The sequence below is a fragment of the Homo sapiens genome, chromosome 19 (assembly GCF_000001405.40).
Source record: "Homo sapiens chromosome 19, GRCh38.p14 Primary Assembly".
NCBI lineage: Eukaryota > Metazoa > Chordata > Mammalia > Primates > Hominidae > Homo > Homo sapiens.
The window spans coordinates 30,632,787-30,647,266 of record NC_000019.10 but is presented as its reverse complement, the minus strand read 5'-3'; the positions used below and the strand labels follow the sequence as shown (position 1 = coordinate 30,647,266).

The window sequence follows — 14,480 nt, the reverse complement described above, 5'->3', positions numbered from 1 at the left end:
TAAGCTTGACTTGAGCAGTGGGGAAGATATTGGAAACACTAATCAGGGACAAAATAGGGAAAGTTATGATTTAATTAAAGATATTCAGCATGGATTCACAAAAGGGAGATCATACGTAACAAAACTAATAGAATATTTTGAAAAAGTAACAAAAAGGAATTCAAGAGGGAAACCAGGGGTATAATTTACTGGGACTTTAAGAAAGCTTTTGTGCACTGACTCACAAAGGACTAATCTCCAGCGGTGGGGAGTTTGGGTGTGAGTGTGGTGGGGGGTGGAGAATGAATGAAGAATTGTCTGGACCAAGGGTACTTGTGAGCATTACTATGAAGAGATTAGGATAAAAAAAGGAGACTGACTGCTGGAATTTCCCGAGATCTGAGTTTTTTTAATTAATTTTTTTAAACATACAACATCAATAGCCTTGCTTCGGAAATGCGCCCAAACGTGGTGGAATTCTCCTGCAGGTGTAACGTCGGAGGGCAGGTGCCAGTTGATACAACAAGGGCAATAACATTGGAAAGGATTTATTGAAATATGATGAATACATGACCATCCCTCAAATACTACGAGACTGCGACCAAAAGGGGGGCAGAGCCACTAATTGCCACTTGAGTAATTAACACAAATAAAGGTGGAGAAAATGTCTAGAAGGAGCTAAAGCACTGTGGTCTGGACAGTGCGTGATCAACAGCTGTGCCCACTGACCGGCAAAGTCACACATCCACACGTACACACCGATGGCTTCATGCAGAAGCACGCACACACCCGCACATGCACACATTCACACATTACATAGGGACATTCATGAGCACACCTTCACACCTTGCAAAGATGCACTCCTGCCTAAACACACATTGTGCACATTCGTGCTCCTAGACACGTGTACACACAGTCGTGAACATGTGTGCGCAGGCTCAAGCTTCTTTCCCCAGAGGCTGCTATACTGTGCTTAGGTGGAAATGATGGATGTAAAGGAAAAAAGAACATACTATTTTCCACCAGGACAGTTGGGGAGGCACATGACAGGGGGAAAGGCCCCCTTAGTCACATTACGGTAATAATAGATGCCACAGGGATGAAAGAAGAGGCAGAGGGGAGAGGAATCGTGAGACACAAAAAGACCTTTGTTGCTACAAGCCAAACCAGAGCTGAATACCTTCTCTGAAAAAATAATGGCAGAAATCCCCAAAGGGGCCAAACTCTTGCACTTGGAGACAGAGCTACAGAATGCAGTAGCAGGAGGCTGGAGAAGACGGTGACTAGATCTGAGACCTGCTGTCCTCAGGGCTCCAACCCAAAGCTTATCCAGCAAGAAGCCAGGCTGGGCAACGGCATGGCGAACTTTCCCAAAATGCAGACGTGTTGTTCGCCAAACGAATAGTTTCTTCATTCTTGGTGAATGTCTAGGTCAGAATAATGACCAAAAGCATCAGAACATATGTGTCTAGATGGGAAGCTCCCTGCTGCAGGGTGGCGCCATCCGCTAAGTGGGCTGCAGCCACTAGCAGACGGCCCTCATCTGTGGGGCTTCACACTCAAATCCCTTTGACACTTATAAAGTTATGACAAGCCTGTGGAGAAGATATGGATATAGACACAGATCCTAACATGCAAGTATTAGAATAATTTGAACTTCATTTACCTTTTACATCATTCATTAATATTAAAATGTGACTTCAACAGTTTCCATATTTAAAAGGTCACTGAGGATGAAAAGTTGCAAAATGAAGGATACATGTCCTCCTCATTAATAATAACAGGAGTGTCCTATAATAGTCATATCCTCTGATGCTAAGGCACCAAGGCATTGATTCCCCCCAAAAAAATTTTTTTAAAGAAATGCCACCAAAAGCAATGGCAGCAAAAGCCAAAATTGACAAATGGGATCTAATTAGACTAAAGAGCTTCTGCACAGCAAAAGAAACTACCATCAGAGTGAACAGGCAACCTACAGAATGGGAGAAAATTTTTGCAATCTACTCACCTGACAAAGGGCTAATATCCAGAATCTACAATGAACTCCAACAAATTTACAAGAAAAAAACAAACAACCCCATCAAAAAGTGGGCAAAGGATATGAACAGACATTTCTCAAAAGAAGACATTTATGCAGGCAAAAGACACATGAAAAAATGCTCAACATCACTGGCCATCAGAGAAATGCAAATCAAAACCACAATGAGATACCATCTCACACCAGTTAGAACGACCATCATTAAAAAGTCAGGAAACAACAGGTGCTGGAGAAGATATGGAGAAATAGGAACACTTTTACACTGTTGGTGGGACTGTAAGCTAGTTCAACCATTGTGGAAGTCAGTGTGGCGATTCCTCAGGGATCTAGAACTAGAAATACCATTTGACCCAGCCATCCCATTACTGGGTATATACCCAAAGGATTATAAATCACACTGCTATAAAAACACATGCACACGTATGTTTATTGAGGCACTATTCACAATAGGAAAGACTTGGAACCAACCCAAATGTCCAACAAATAAAAGGCTGGATTAAGAAAATGTGGCACATATACACCATAGAATACTGTGCAGCCATAAAAAAGGATGAGTTCATGTCTTTTGTAGGGACATGGATGAAGCTGGAAACCATCATTCTCAGCAAACTATCGCAAGGACAAAAAACCAAACACCGCATGTTCTCACTCATAGGTGGGAATTGAACAATGAGAACACATGGACACAGGAAGGGGAACATCACACACCGAGGCCTGTTGTGGGGTGGGAGGATGGGGGAGGGATAGCATTTGGAGATATACCTAATGCTAAATGACGAGTTACTGGGTGCAGCACACCAGCATGGCACATGTATACATATGTAACTAACCTGCATGTTGTGCACATGTACCCTAAAACTTAAAGTATAATTAAAAAAAAAAGAAAGAAATGTCCACTATAGGCTTTCTCTCCATTTTAACTCTGGAGACGTACATACTTTAAACCAAATCGTTATGAATTCATGCTTAGAGATTACAAACTAAGAATGAAAGGAAGGAGGAAATTTTTAAAAATATACATATAAAGAGAAACAGCTAAGCATAGCAGATCAAAATGCACCCCACTGTGTTTTGACTGCAGATCCCTCTTCCAACATCTCCCAGGGACAACTGAAGTGGACAAGCACTTCTTGAACAAGTAAAGTTAAACCACAGAGCTCACTTGTTATCTGTGGCTCCACTGCCATTTTAAACACTTGTCTCTGAAGCTTTCACCTTGGGATAGATGACATTTACAACACATGTAACAGAGATCGAAACGTGAAATCAATAACAAAAAATGTTTGCCTTTCAATTTGGTTCATTCTATCACTTCCCCCCAATTTTTGATTCAAATTGAATTTGGGAATTTCTACTTTGCTTTCTAAAGCAAAGAAATCTTTTTCTAATACCCTGGAGTTCACTCAAGCATGGCCTAAAGCAATATTCACTAAGAGGAGAAAAGGGTTAACTGGGGGAGATGTAAGCACCACCCCCCAACGCAACTCCCAATCTTCCACCCAAAGCTACCCTAAGTGAACATACAATGTACGTGAAAACTCACCTCCCACCTCCATGCTTCCACACAGGTTGGTGCCCCAAAACCCCCCCCTGCAGAAATTGCTTTGCGATAGCTGGCAGAACCCCAGAGTAGAATAAGGCTTTTTGAAGCAAAACGAAGCGTTAAAAAGTACCTGTCCGGAATGTGTCTTGAAATCAGTCATTGAGAATCATCTGTCAGTAAGACAAAATTAATTACTACATGTAAAATGAAGAAATCAATGTACATTAAACACTGTATAAATGGTATAAAAGTTTAGGACAAGGTGATTGTTAAATAATTACTGATACTTGTATAAATGTTCCACCAAGCCCCAGCAGGGACGTGACATCATGGGACTCTTTCCAAATCTTCCCAAGTCGAGTGTGGGTCTTAGTGTGTTTCTCTCACATCCACCTCCAATTAGGTTTGGAGATTTAAGTAATACCCCAGCAAATTAAGTAACTTGCAAAGTTCAGTGACATTTTAGCACAATTTTCAGCAGCCAAGGCTGGGATGGAGGACACAGTCCCAGTGGAATGGATAGATTCATGAACCCAGCAGGAGAAGAAGCACCCGTTCCCCCACCACAGGATCCCCAATAACTTGGGAAAGGATGCTACCTGGTGAAATATTTTATTAATTTATGCAAATCTGGCTTTACTTATGAAATCCAATCAGTTATAAATACTTCAAGACGGGTCATAACTTAAGATATGACTTTTGAACAATGTTTCTAAGGCCCAGCTCCATGACTTTTGGTGTTGACATAAAAGGCTAAAAGAAAGCCTCAGTGCTGAGGCCATTGTTAGACAGACACCTCAGTTGTGTCCCTCAGGGAGCTGGGCTCTCACCCCCCACACAGCCTCTTTCACTCAGGTGCTCAGGACAAAGAGATCCAAGTCTACCGATATTTGATCCACTCAAAGAAGGCACTGACTGACTCATCCATCTCACCCTCAGACAGAGCCTTTGCATCATCTCCTGAAACCCATCTGGACAACCGGTCTGCAGCACAACAGTCTCTCCTTTCTCAGTGGGATCTAATCTGTTGCTAGAGTCGAGGACCTCCTGCAGGCACTTCTGATGATCAAAATTTCCTTCTGAAACTTCAGCCTCCTCTCCGTAATGACAGCCCGAGGCTCAGCTCACGCCTTGAGTTTTCTCTAGTCTCTCTGACCTTCTACCTTCTAATCAGCCAACACATTTCAGTCCCCTCTGAAGCTTTTGAGGTCCATTCCTCCTTCAACTTGCGGGTCCTGGCAGTGACTTTCTCACTGGGGCTTAACCTGGAAGGCAAATGCCATCAGCTGTCCACCAGAGATGGAGGACAGACTGTCAACCCCCAGGGAAGGATTGACTAGAAGAACTTTCCTGCAACAAGACCCTCAAACCCCCTGGTTGAAATGGGCCCCAAGTGTCCTCCAAGTGTACTTTGCAACAACCAATATACAGAAATAAAAGATTTCCAATATACAATTTGTAAAATTAAGGAGCTGAAGATTACTTAGGAAAGGGCGATTTGCAATGCAAACGAACTTTCTGATTTATAGAGTCACCACGGGGTTCCTTACATGAGTCAATCTAAAATAGGATTCAGCTCACAATGCATCTAAAATAGGATTCGGTTCCCAAAATCCAACACCCACGCCATATCAGCAATGGCCCCCATCAACACAGCCATTGCAGAGGGAGGTGGTCCCGCAAACTTTGCTGTGCTTTTTTCTCAAAAGGTTTTCCTGCAAGTGCATGGCCAATCTCATTAAATAGGCTTTCCTTTGGCTCGTACTATTATCCTTGGCTTTGCAATCAGAGTCGCTTTTCCATCCACAACCAACCCCTCAAACACCTTCAAGGACTTGCCCCACTCTACTGCCATCCTCTAGGTCTCCTCATCTTGGGACAGGCATTACATCCCGGCCAAGAGAAGCCCCTAATTCCTGTCTTGGATTTGAGATTTGGCGGGAAGTGACCTCCCATTGAGGAGTAAATCTGAGGTTTAAAATTAAGTGAAAAAGGATATAAATATTTCATTGCTTTGATGCAGTAATTCCATTTCTGGTGGTCTTCCCTAGAGAAATACTCTAAAGCACGAGGGTGAAGATGGAATAAGAGGAGCTGCCTTTATGTTCAAAGACATTCCCTGTATTATATTTGTAATAATAAAAACATTGGAAACAGTCGACATATTCAACAATAGGGTAAATAACTATATAATGATATTTTAGTGTAGCCATACGTTTATACATATACGTTTTAATAACATGAGAAAAAATTTCATACTACACATATATATTACATGTATATGACATGCAGAAATCATATGACAGCAAGATTACAATTCCATAAAAGCTAGGCACAGGAAGAAAGCTGAAAGGAGATAAACTAAAACTGTGGCATTCTTCATGCAGTAAGCAATGTCTGGGAGTTTTTTCTATTTTTTAAATAATCAGAACAGAAAAAAATAGAATTTGCTTTTCTTTCAAGAAAACACAGGTTGATTTCTTTTTTGAGAAGTAAAACAGATTGGGTTAAATGTAGTATATTAAAAGTAAGCTTCAGTTAACTTCCATTTTTTGTGAAAAAGTAAAATTTCTATTAATGCTAAAGATTTTATCTCACGAACATGGTAAAATGTTTTATTTAAATATTTTATACTTGAAATATTATAAGGCCTTAGCTGCTGATCCAGAGATAACTAAGCGGTACTGAAGCTGAACTAGAGACTTACGCAGGTGGGAATGTGTACAGCTGCATAGGGTTTTCATGTGTCCACAGCATTCTGTGTCTATGTCCCAGACAGGGCCTTCATACCAAACCAGGATGTGCCCCAGGAGACGTGCTCCCCAACAGCAGGGCTGTGAATGACGGCATTCTGCTGCTGACACGAGGCCCTAGCCCAGGTCTGGTATAAGACAACATCTTAGTAAATGCTGCATAAGAAATGAATGTCCTTTGAATGTGCCTCTGATCTCTGTGAAACTGTAAGCTTGCCTGGAATGATGGCCACTGCTACCACTTCATATAGGATATGGAGTGCCTGTGCCTGCACAGAGGGATATTCAGGAGCTACCAGTACAAACACCAGGTCAGCAAACCTCCCTGCCTTGCAGGCTGGTAAGACGGTGCAGGGAGAAGCCTGGAGGATCTTGGGCCTGACTCTTGCGAGGCACAATCTTACGATACCTCAATTTGCCAGTCCTTAGAACTGGGGAGATAATCTTCTTCCCCAGAGATTTTGGTGTGCTGAGTCAGAAGTAAAGAAATAAGTTTTCTCTCAAAGGCTGAAACAGTGCTGATTGCCAAACAGGGGAGGAAAATCTGGTTTTAGTTATTTAAGACGTTATTTTACTTCTACTTCTGGCTATAGTAAAAGAGCCTGTAACAAATCAACTGTCTTATTGAGCACAACTAGAAAAGCTGCATGAAAAAAACAGTGGTGCGTATTTGTGTGTATATAACCAATTTTTTTTTTCTTGAGACAGGGTCTCACTCTCACTCTGTTGCCCAGGCTGGAATGCAGTGGCGTGATCTTGGCTCACTGCAACCTCTGCCTCCCGGATTCAAGTGATCCTTCCACCTCAGCCTCCCAAGTAGCTGGGACTACAGGCACGTGCCACCACGCCCAGCTAATTTTTGTATTTTTTGGTAGTGATGGAGGTTTCACCGTGTTAGCCAGGCTGGTCTCAAACTCCTGACCTCAGGTGATCTGCCCATCTCGGCCTCCCAAAGTGCTGGAATTACAGGCGTGAGCCACAGCACCTGGCCAGTATGTGAGTATATAAATAATTTCAAGGTGTAATAGAGTTATCAAAGGAGCCAAGACTTGACAGGTCAAGATTCTAAAAAGGAAGGAGCACAGAATGCTGGGCTTGCTTTTGACTTTGCTTTTCCCCTTGAGACAGTTGTGAACTTACAAATGGCAGCCAACGAGATGCTGAGAAGCAAAGCAGAGACATCCGTAGTCCAAGGGACCAAGAAGATAAACACCAGAATCTAGGGCTTTGTAAGGCAGAAGTTTCCTGATAAGCACCCCGCACACTTATTTGTTACCCCTAAAGGGGCAGAAGAAGGAGTAAGAACAGATAAGAAATAAATCCTTAAAATCTGCTCAATTTCTGATTGACTTATGGTGATCTTCCGCAAGCCTAATGGCCTACTGGAAACAAAAGTAAATCCTCCCTAGAGGAAGATAACACCATCCAGAGCTGTGCTGCCTGCCAGGGTAGCTGACGGCCATGTGGCTACTGGGAACTTGGGATGGGGCTTTGTCAGAATTGAGAAGTGCTATGAGGGTAAAACACTCACTGGATTTCCAAGACTTAGTACAAAAAAGACACGTAAAATGTCCCATTAATACTCTTTATATTGGTTACCTGCTCAAATGATAATACTTCGGGTACACCAGGTTAAATACAACAAAATACGTTCTTAAAAATAGTTAACTATGTATTCATGCTTATTTAATGTTGCTACTACAAAATTTAAATGACGTGGGTGGTTCACATTACATTCCTATTTGGCAGTTCTCATACAGTCAAAAGGCATCTCTAAAATTTGTATACGCCATGTCTGACATTTGATAAAAATTACCAGGAACACCAGGAAATACGACCAAATGAGTAAAAACAAAGACAGAAAATCAGGCAACAGCTAATGTAATCAGGCCTACCAAAGATACAAATATTGAGTTCTAGAGTTACAGACTTTAGAATAACTATACCTGATATATTTAAGAAAATAGATGACAAGATAAGGAGTTTAGGTAGAAAATGGGAATCGCCAAAAGAAATCAACTGGAAATTGTGAGACTAAGAGTACAATATCTGAAATTCAGAGCTAGACAGTTTTGAAATACTTCAAGAAAGAGTTAGCTGGAAGAAGATTCCATTTGCATAATACAGCAATGTGTCCTGTTCTTGACTGCAAAGATATATAAAGTTTTGCTCTTGTCCTAATCTGGCCCATGACTACCTTACAATCCCCTCAGAAGCCCAGACAAATTCTCCCCAGTGAGTCAGAAGACTAAACAGTTGATATGGTTTGGGTCTCTGTCCCCACCCAAATCTGATGTAGAGAATTGTAAAATGTTGGAGGTGGGGCCTGGTGGGAAGTCACTGGATCATGGGGGAAGATTTCTCTTGAATGGTTTTTAGCACTACCTGCCTTGGTAATGTTCTTGTGACAGTGAGTAAGTTATCCTGAGATCTGGTTGTTTAAAAGTGTATAGCACTTCCCCCCTCTCACGCTTCCTCCTGCTCAGGCCATGTGAAGTGCTGGCTCCCACTTCACCTTCCACCATGACTGTAAGTTTCCTGAGGCCTCCCCAGAAGCTGAGCAGATGCAACATCATGCTTCCTGTACAGCCTACAGGACTGTGAGCCAATTCAAACTCTTTTCATTATAAATTACCCAGTCTTAGGTACTTATAGCAAATCTAGAACAGACTAACACAGCAGTGTGAGATGTTAAGACCTTAAAAGTCCTTACGACTGATGGAAGAGACATGCTAAAATGGATCAGAGGTCTGGGTTGAGAAAGACCAGCCACCCTGGCCTGGCTTTCTGCCCTTTCATCAAGTTTGACCTTAGTGTTTCCCAGAGACCAGAAGCAGTGTCAACACAACAGATCTGGAGCTGATACCAGGTTGTTTGATGCAGACTGGAACATTCAGGAAAGAGTTTTCAGGGCTTGCATCGACTACTTCTGGGTGGTCCATGAGTAAGCCACAAGGATGTTTGGGTTGTGCTGTGATGTCCCAAACATCCAACAGCAGAGCAAAAGACAAAGTACAGAGGCAATCTATTTTGTCTACATAACACCAGCTTTGCAAAAAAACCCTCGAAATACCTTGCTGCCTTTGTCTAACCCTTGCTATAAAAAAAAGACACAGTCTTTCTCAGAAAAGCAAGGTGAGAAGCAACTAGCTCAATCAATGTTTATGTACCAGAAGGGCTATTGTAAGTGCAAAACTAATAAACTCTACTCTCGCCAAGTATCTCAAAAGAGAAAAAAGGGGTGATGCTCTAGAAAAAGATTTGGGTTTGGATTGGAAGAAGAGCTATGTGATCATCAAGGGTAGAAGGATGTTAAAATATGTGCTTTTGTTACTCTTTAGATGGAAACTCCAAAAGTCTGACCACAAAGCGTAAAGGATGAATGCTTGCTTTATCCAAATTGAGAATGAAGACTGGCCAACAAGTGTCCTCAACCTCATGCCAAGACCCAATTTGAGTCTATAGAAGGGTATAATTTGAAAAGGCAGAGAGTTGCAAAATAGAAGAGTTCTTTGGAAAGAGTTGGTGGGTGTGATGTTATTACCAGCCCTCCTTCCACAGGGGATGGACAGAAGTTGCTTCCTTCACTTCAATCCCAGTTGATGGACTCTCAAAGAGAACCTGTTCCATGTCCCTTGGTGTCAGTAGGACATGATACCCAGCTATGCCAAAGTGGAAAGGCTAGAGACTGTTCTTAGGGTGGGTTGAAAAGAGGCCTGTATGGGGAAAGGTTCCAGTTTCAGTTTGCTGGAAGACATGAAGAATATTTCCCAAGGTCCAGATGTGGGTCAGTATGGAAGGACCCTCTGCATAAAAATGCTGTCAAGGACTTTGCCCAAGAGGCTGCCTAAAAGGATGAAACAACTCACCAGGAAGACACTGGATGTTCACTGCTGAAGGGCTAGCAGCCAGCAGCCAGCCAGAGGCAACATGCCCAAACTGTAGGTGACAGAATCCTAGAGATGTGGGAGAGCCCAAAGAACTCCAGAAAGGATCCAGCCCAGGAGAAAAATGACTGTCATGGCTGTGTTTCCAGCCCTGACTTCTTCTGCGGACTCTGTTCGAAACCAGGGTAGCCAGAACGCACAGGAGAAAGGAAAACATGAGGCCAGGGACCAGAGAAGACACGGCCTGCCCCCGTCCCCAGGCCCGCAACAGGCTGCAGCCAGGTCCAGAAAATGATCCCACTCTACATGAAGCTTGGAGTTAGGAGTATGACATTGAAACATGTGCTTCCATGACCAAAATGAGGTTCTTTTATGACTCAAAGGCACATAAAGACCCTGCGTTATTCCAGAGTGTCCAAAAATATTGTGGGACCTTGCCTAGATCTCACCCGAAATGGGTGGGGGAAATCCAACATCGCAAAATGGGTTTAAACAGACAGAAAGAATAACTTTCTGTGCTTCCACCCTGTGGACTTTTCTCTTTAAACATAAAGATGATAAATCCCCAGGAAGGAAGGAGGGAGCCTCTTACTTGAAGAACATGGGAAATCATCATTTTTTCACAAGCAATATTTTTCTTTTATCCATGAAGAGACAAGGGCCTCATGAGGATGGGAATCTTTGCTCAGCCACAGTGGAGCCAGGACACGCATCCGGTCCCCAATCCCTTCCCCCACATTGCCATGGGGGAGATGATCACCCATCCTGGAATCAGCAGATAGGGCCAATGACCCTCTCACTTTTCCTGTCTGCGTAGGACCTGGTTATCTCATTTCCCTCATCATTAAAATGCTGGTGAGTCCAGCCTAGATAAGAAAAGCCAGCTCCTGTTAGGTGGTCACCATGTCTCATGGCTGACCACCATTGTGAAGGGATGACACGCCACACCCGGGCCCCACCAAGCAAGATTCCAAAGCCCAGAGGTACCTGGGAGAGAAAACATCCTTTGGCTGGGTGTTTTCCTGAACATTCTCTCCAGAGACCCTTCTGGAAAACGTTGCAGCCACTGGCACCTTGCACAGCTCTCCGGCGGCCCACTCATCCTCTGGGGGCACCCATCAGCTGGAGTACCCGGGGAGAGCCTGCAGCCACAGCTCAGAAAGCGCCACATGGCAGGGAGCTGGGTTTCCAGCAGGCAGGAGAGGAGGTAAGCGCTCTCCGCAGTGTCCTGCTGTGTTTGGAAACCCCATCCAAGAGGCAGCGTATGGATCTGTGTATGGGTCTGCTGTCGCGTAATGAAATGGTAATGGGAGGCAGTCCGGAACTCCTCTTTACACAGCCACCAACGGATGCCATCCACAAGGAGGGCAGCTGCTCCTCCAATCTGCCCTGCTTTTTGAAGTCAACACTCTCTTTCAAGACCAAGGACACCCCCAGCCACACCCAGGAGCTCTTGGGGCCTCCAGAGAACCTTCTGCACTTAGATGCTCCCCCTGCACCTTGCAGGCAGCCCTTGCTCCTGGCCAGAGTGCCTGGGAGCCGAGGATCCGCACAGGGTGGGACAAGAGAGTGCCTTGCAAGAAGGACAGCCCTGGCTCAGGCAGGGAGCCATCTTGGAGAGCAGTTGTACCAGTGCCCAGTTCTGTGAATTGCACACTCTCCCTCTCTTTGTTAAGTTAATAATAAACACAAAGCAACAACCACAAAATCCAAATAAATGATAAACTCCAAAAAGAGCAGAATTGGACTGTCATCTTTTCCAGATACCTGTTCACCACAGCAGAAGGGCTGTGCCAACACTGCACCATCTCCAATCCACGCCATATGCCTGTTTCTTTACTTAGCGTTGTTTGGGATGGGAATCCTTCAGAGAATGGAAAGTGCCTGAACGTTTGGCAAACCAGACAAGGACACCAGCCGAATGTGCATGGGGATATGGTATGTCCCTAAACATGCGCGTGTGGGGCACGCGCATACACACACACACACACACACACACCCAGCTTTCTTCTCTCCCAGCCTGTTTGTAACTTTGCTCATCGGTTGTTTTTTCTATGTACAGTAACCAGAATTAAAATAAGCTGAGTGTTAGAAAAGCAGAACAAATGGAGACTGCTTTTGACAGTGGTGACACTTTTGGTCAAATCATCTAGCTGAGATTTTGGCTAAGAGTTTAGTCAGACACACACGTACCCAGGCACACAAAGACTGACACGTAATCTACTCATGGCTCTGGCTCTGCTTGGCTCAGAAGGGGGTCTGGAGATGCAGCCATAACGAGCTGCACTCCCGAAATGAAAATCCCGTCCCCTTTCTGGTTGGATTGTGTGAGTTTGTAACGTGGGCCAGACTTCAGTCCTGGCCTCATTCACACGCGTGGATGCAACATTCACCGGCATTAAGTGGAGAGGACCACAGCCAGGAACAAACACAAACCAACAGGAAATCAATGGTGTTTTATCATCTCAGGACTTTCGATTATGCCGGCTGTCAGCAGAGGTGCCCTTGAGGGACTGCTCCGACCAGGGGTATGGTGGACCCTGGCTGGTACCCAGGAAGCACTCCCTCCTTTTTTCTAGGAAATTCAGAGACTGGAGGCATGGCAGGAACTTCTCAAGGGTAATCATTTTTCCTGACTGGTATCTTAAGCTTGTCAAGTTCTTAGCCAGAGCTTTCCAAGTCGAGCTTAGAAGAACCATATGGTGCTCGCCCAGTCCATATGACTGGCTGAGCGTCGACCACTATTGTTGATACAATATATCACTTTGTTCTCAATATTATGACAGCATTTGTCAATGAAAATTAAATTACTGTCAAACTTATCCTGCTAACTTACGGCACAACAATCGGAGAAAGCCAGCACCGCGCCTTAAGCCAATGGGACCTTGTCTTCATGCTCCACCAAGAGGCGGGAGAGAAAGACATTTGGGTCTTTAATGCCAGTAGGGATGGTCTGCCCAGCTAGCACAGGGATGCAATGGAAACGACCTTCCTGCAGCCTGAGCTCCTGGGAAGGGGTACGACGGAGGTGGGGGCAGGGGCAGTGTCACTTCAGGCACATGCTTAGTACAGGCAATGTTTCATGAGGGAAATAGCACCACATGTTACACTGATGTGCTGATTAAAAGAAGAAAAGAAAAAGATGACATCTTTAAAATTAAAGATCCTTAGGGGGTGTTTAAAATCTAATATTGGCCAGGTGTAATGGCTCATGCCTGTAACCCCTGCATTTTGGGAGGCCGAGGCAGGAGAATTGAATGAGCCTAGGAGTTCAAGACCAGCCTAGGCAACATAGTGAGACCCCATCTCTACAAAAAAATTAAAAAATTTAAAAAATTTAAAAATCAAATAAAAATAAAATCTAATATAATTTGTGACAATCTGGATGGAATTGGGGAACATTATATGAAGTGATATATGCCAAACACAGAAAGACAAATACTGGGTGTTCTCACTTAAATGTGGACTCTGAAGCAATTGATCTCATAGAAGCAGAGAGCAGAATGGTGGTTACCAGAAGTTGAAGCCTCAGTTCAATAGGAGGAACACATTTGAATTTTTGTTTAGATCAATTGCATTACATGGCAAATATAGCTAACAGTTGAGTTTGTTACATTTCAATATTACCAGAGAGTAAATTTGTAATATTCTTATAAAAAAAGTTAAATATTTGAGGTGATGGGATATGTTAATCAGATTAATTCAATCTTCCCACGTCGTATTTAAAACCATAACTCCTCTTTGTACCTCATAATTATATAAAACTAGAATTTGTCAATACACAATAAAAATAAGAATAAATACAATTGAATATCGACATCCTGAGCTATCTATTCCTGTGGAAGCGTTTGACAGCTAGATTCCATCTGATACCACAATCAGCTTCTTCTATACCTGTGAACAACCTTAGCTTTCATTCCAGTATCTAAGATTGAAGACTTTTGGCTGTTCTATTTTTCCACTAAGGAAGTGGATCAATTATAGAATGCTGAGAGTTTCCAAAAATTTAAAAGATAAGTTCTTCCTCTTTGATCATCTTATTGAAAAGGGCTTGGCTGGTAGAACTCTCACAAGCAGGCATGTCATGGACCATCTAGAATCTGTAATCCACAGCCCTCTTCCTCCTCTCTCCACCCTTTAATTGTCCATACCCATGAATTCAATCTTCCAGATCATTTAAAGAAGATAACTTGGGATTGAGATGAACTAATGGAGTCAGTCAGGGATTTTGACTTCTTTCTAATTTCTCTGTGTCTCTCAAGAATAAAATCTCTCACTAA

At 43.3% G+C, this 14,480-nt stretch overlaps 1 protein-coding gene across 31 annotated transcripts in view; it reads right to left on the bottom strand.

The window, feature by feature from the left end:
• Positions 1–14,480, bottom strand: part of ZNF536 (zinc finger protein 536) — a 487,995-nt gene that overhangs the window by 66,320 nt on the left and 407,195 nt on the right. Inside the window, exon 5 of one of the 31 annotated variants that reach the window (NM_001352260.2) lies at positions 3,691–3,730. The exons of the other annotated variants lie outside the window; for them this stretch is intronic. Within the exon in view, the coding sequence (NP_001339189.1) occupies positions 3,717–3,730 (14 nt within the window). The 3' untranslated portion in view covers positions 3,691–3,716. The remainder of the gene's footprint in view (positions 1–3,690; positions 3,731–14,480) is intronic. 31 annotated transcript variants of the gene reach the window in all.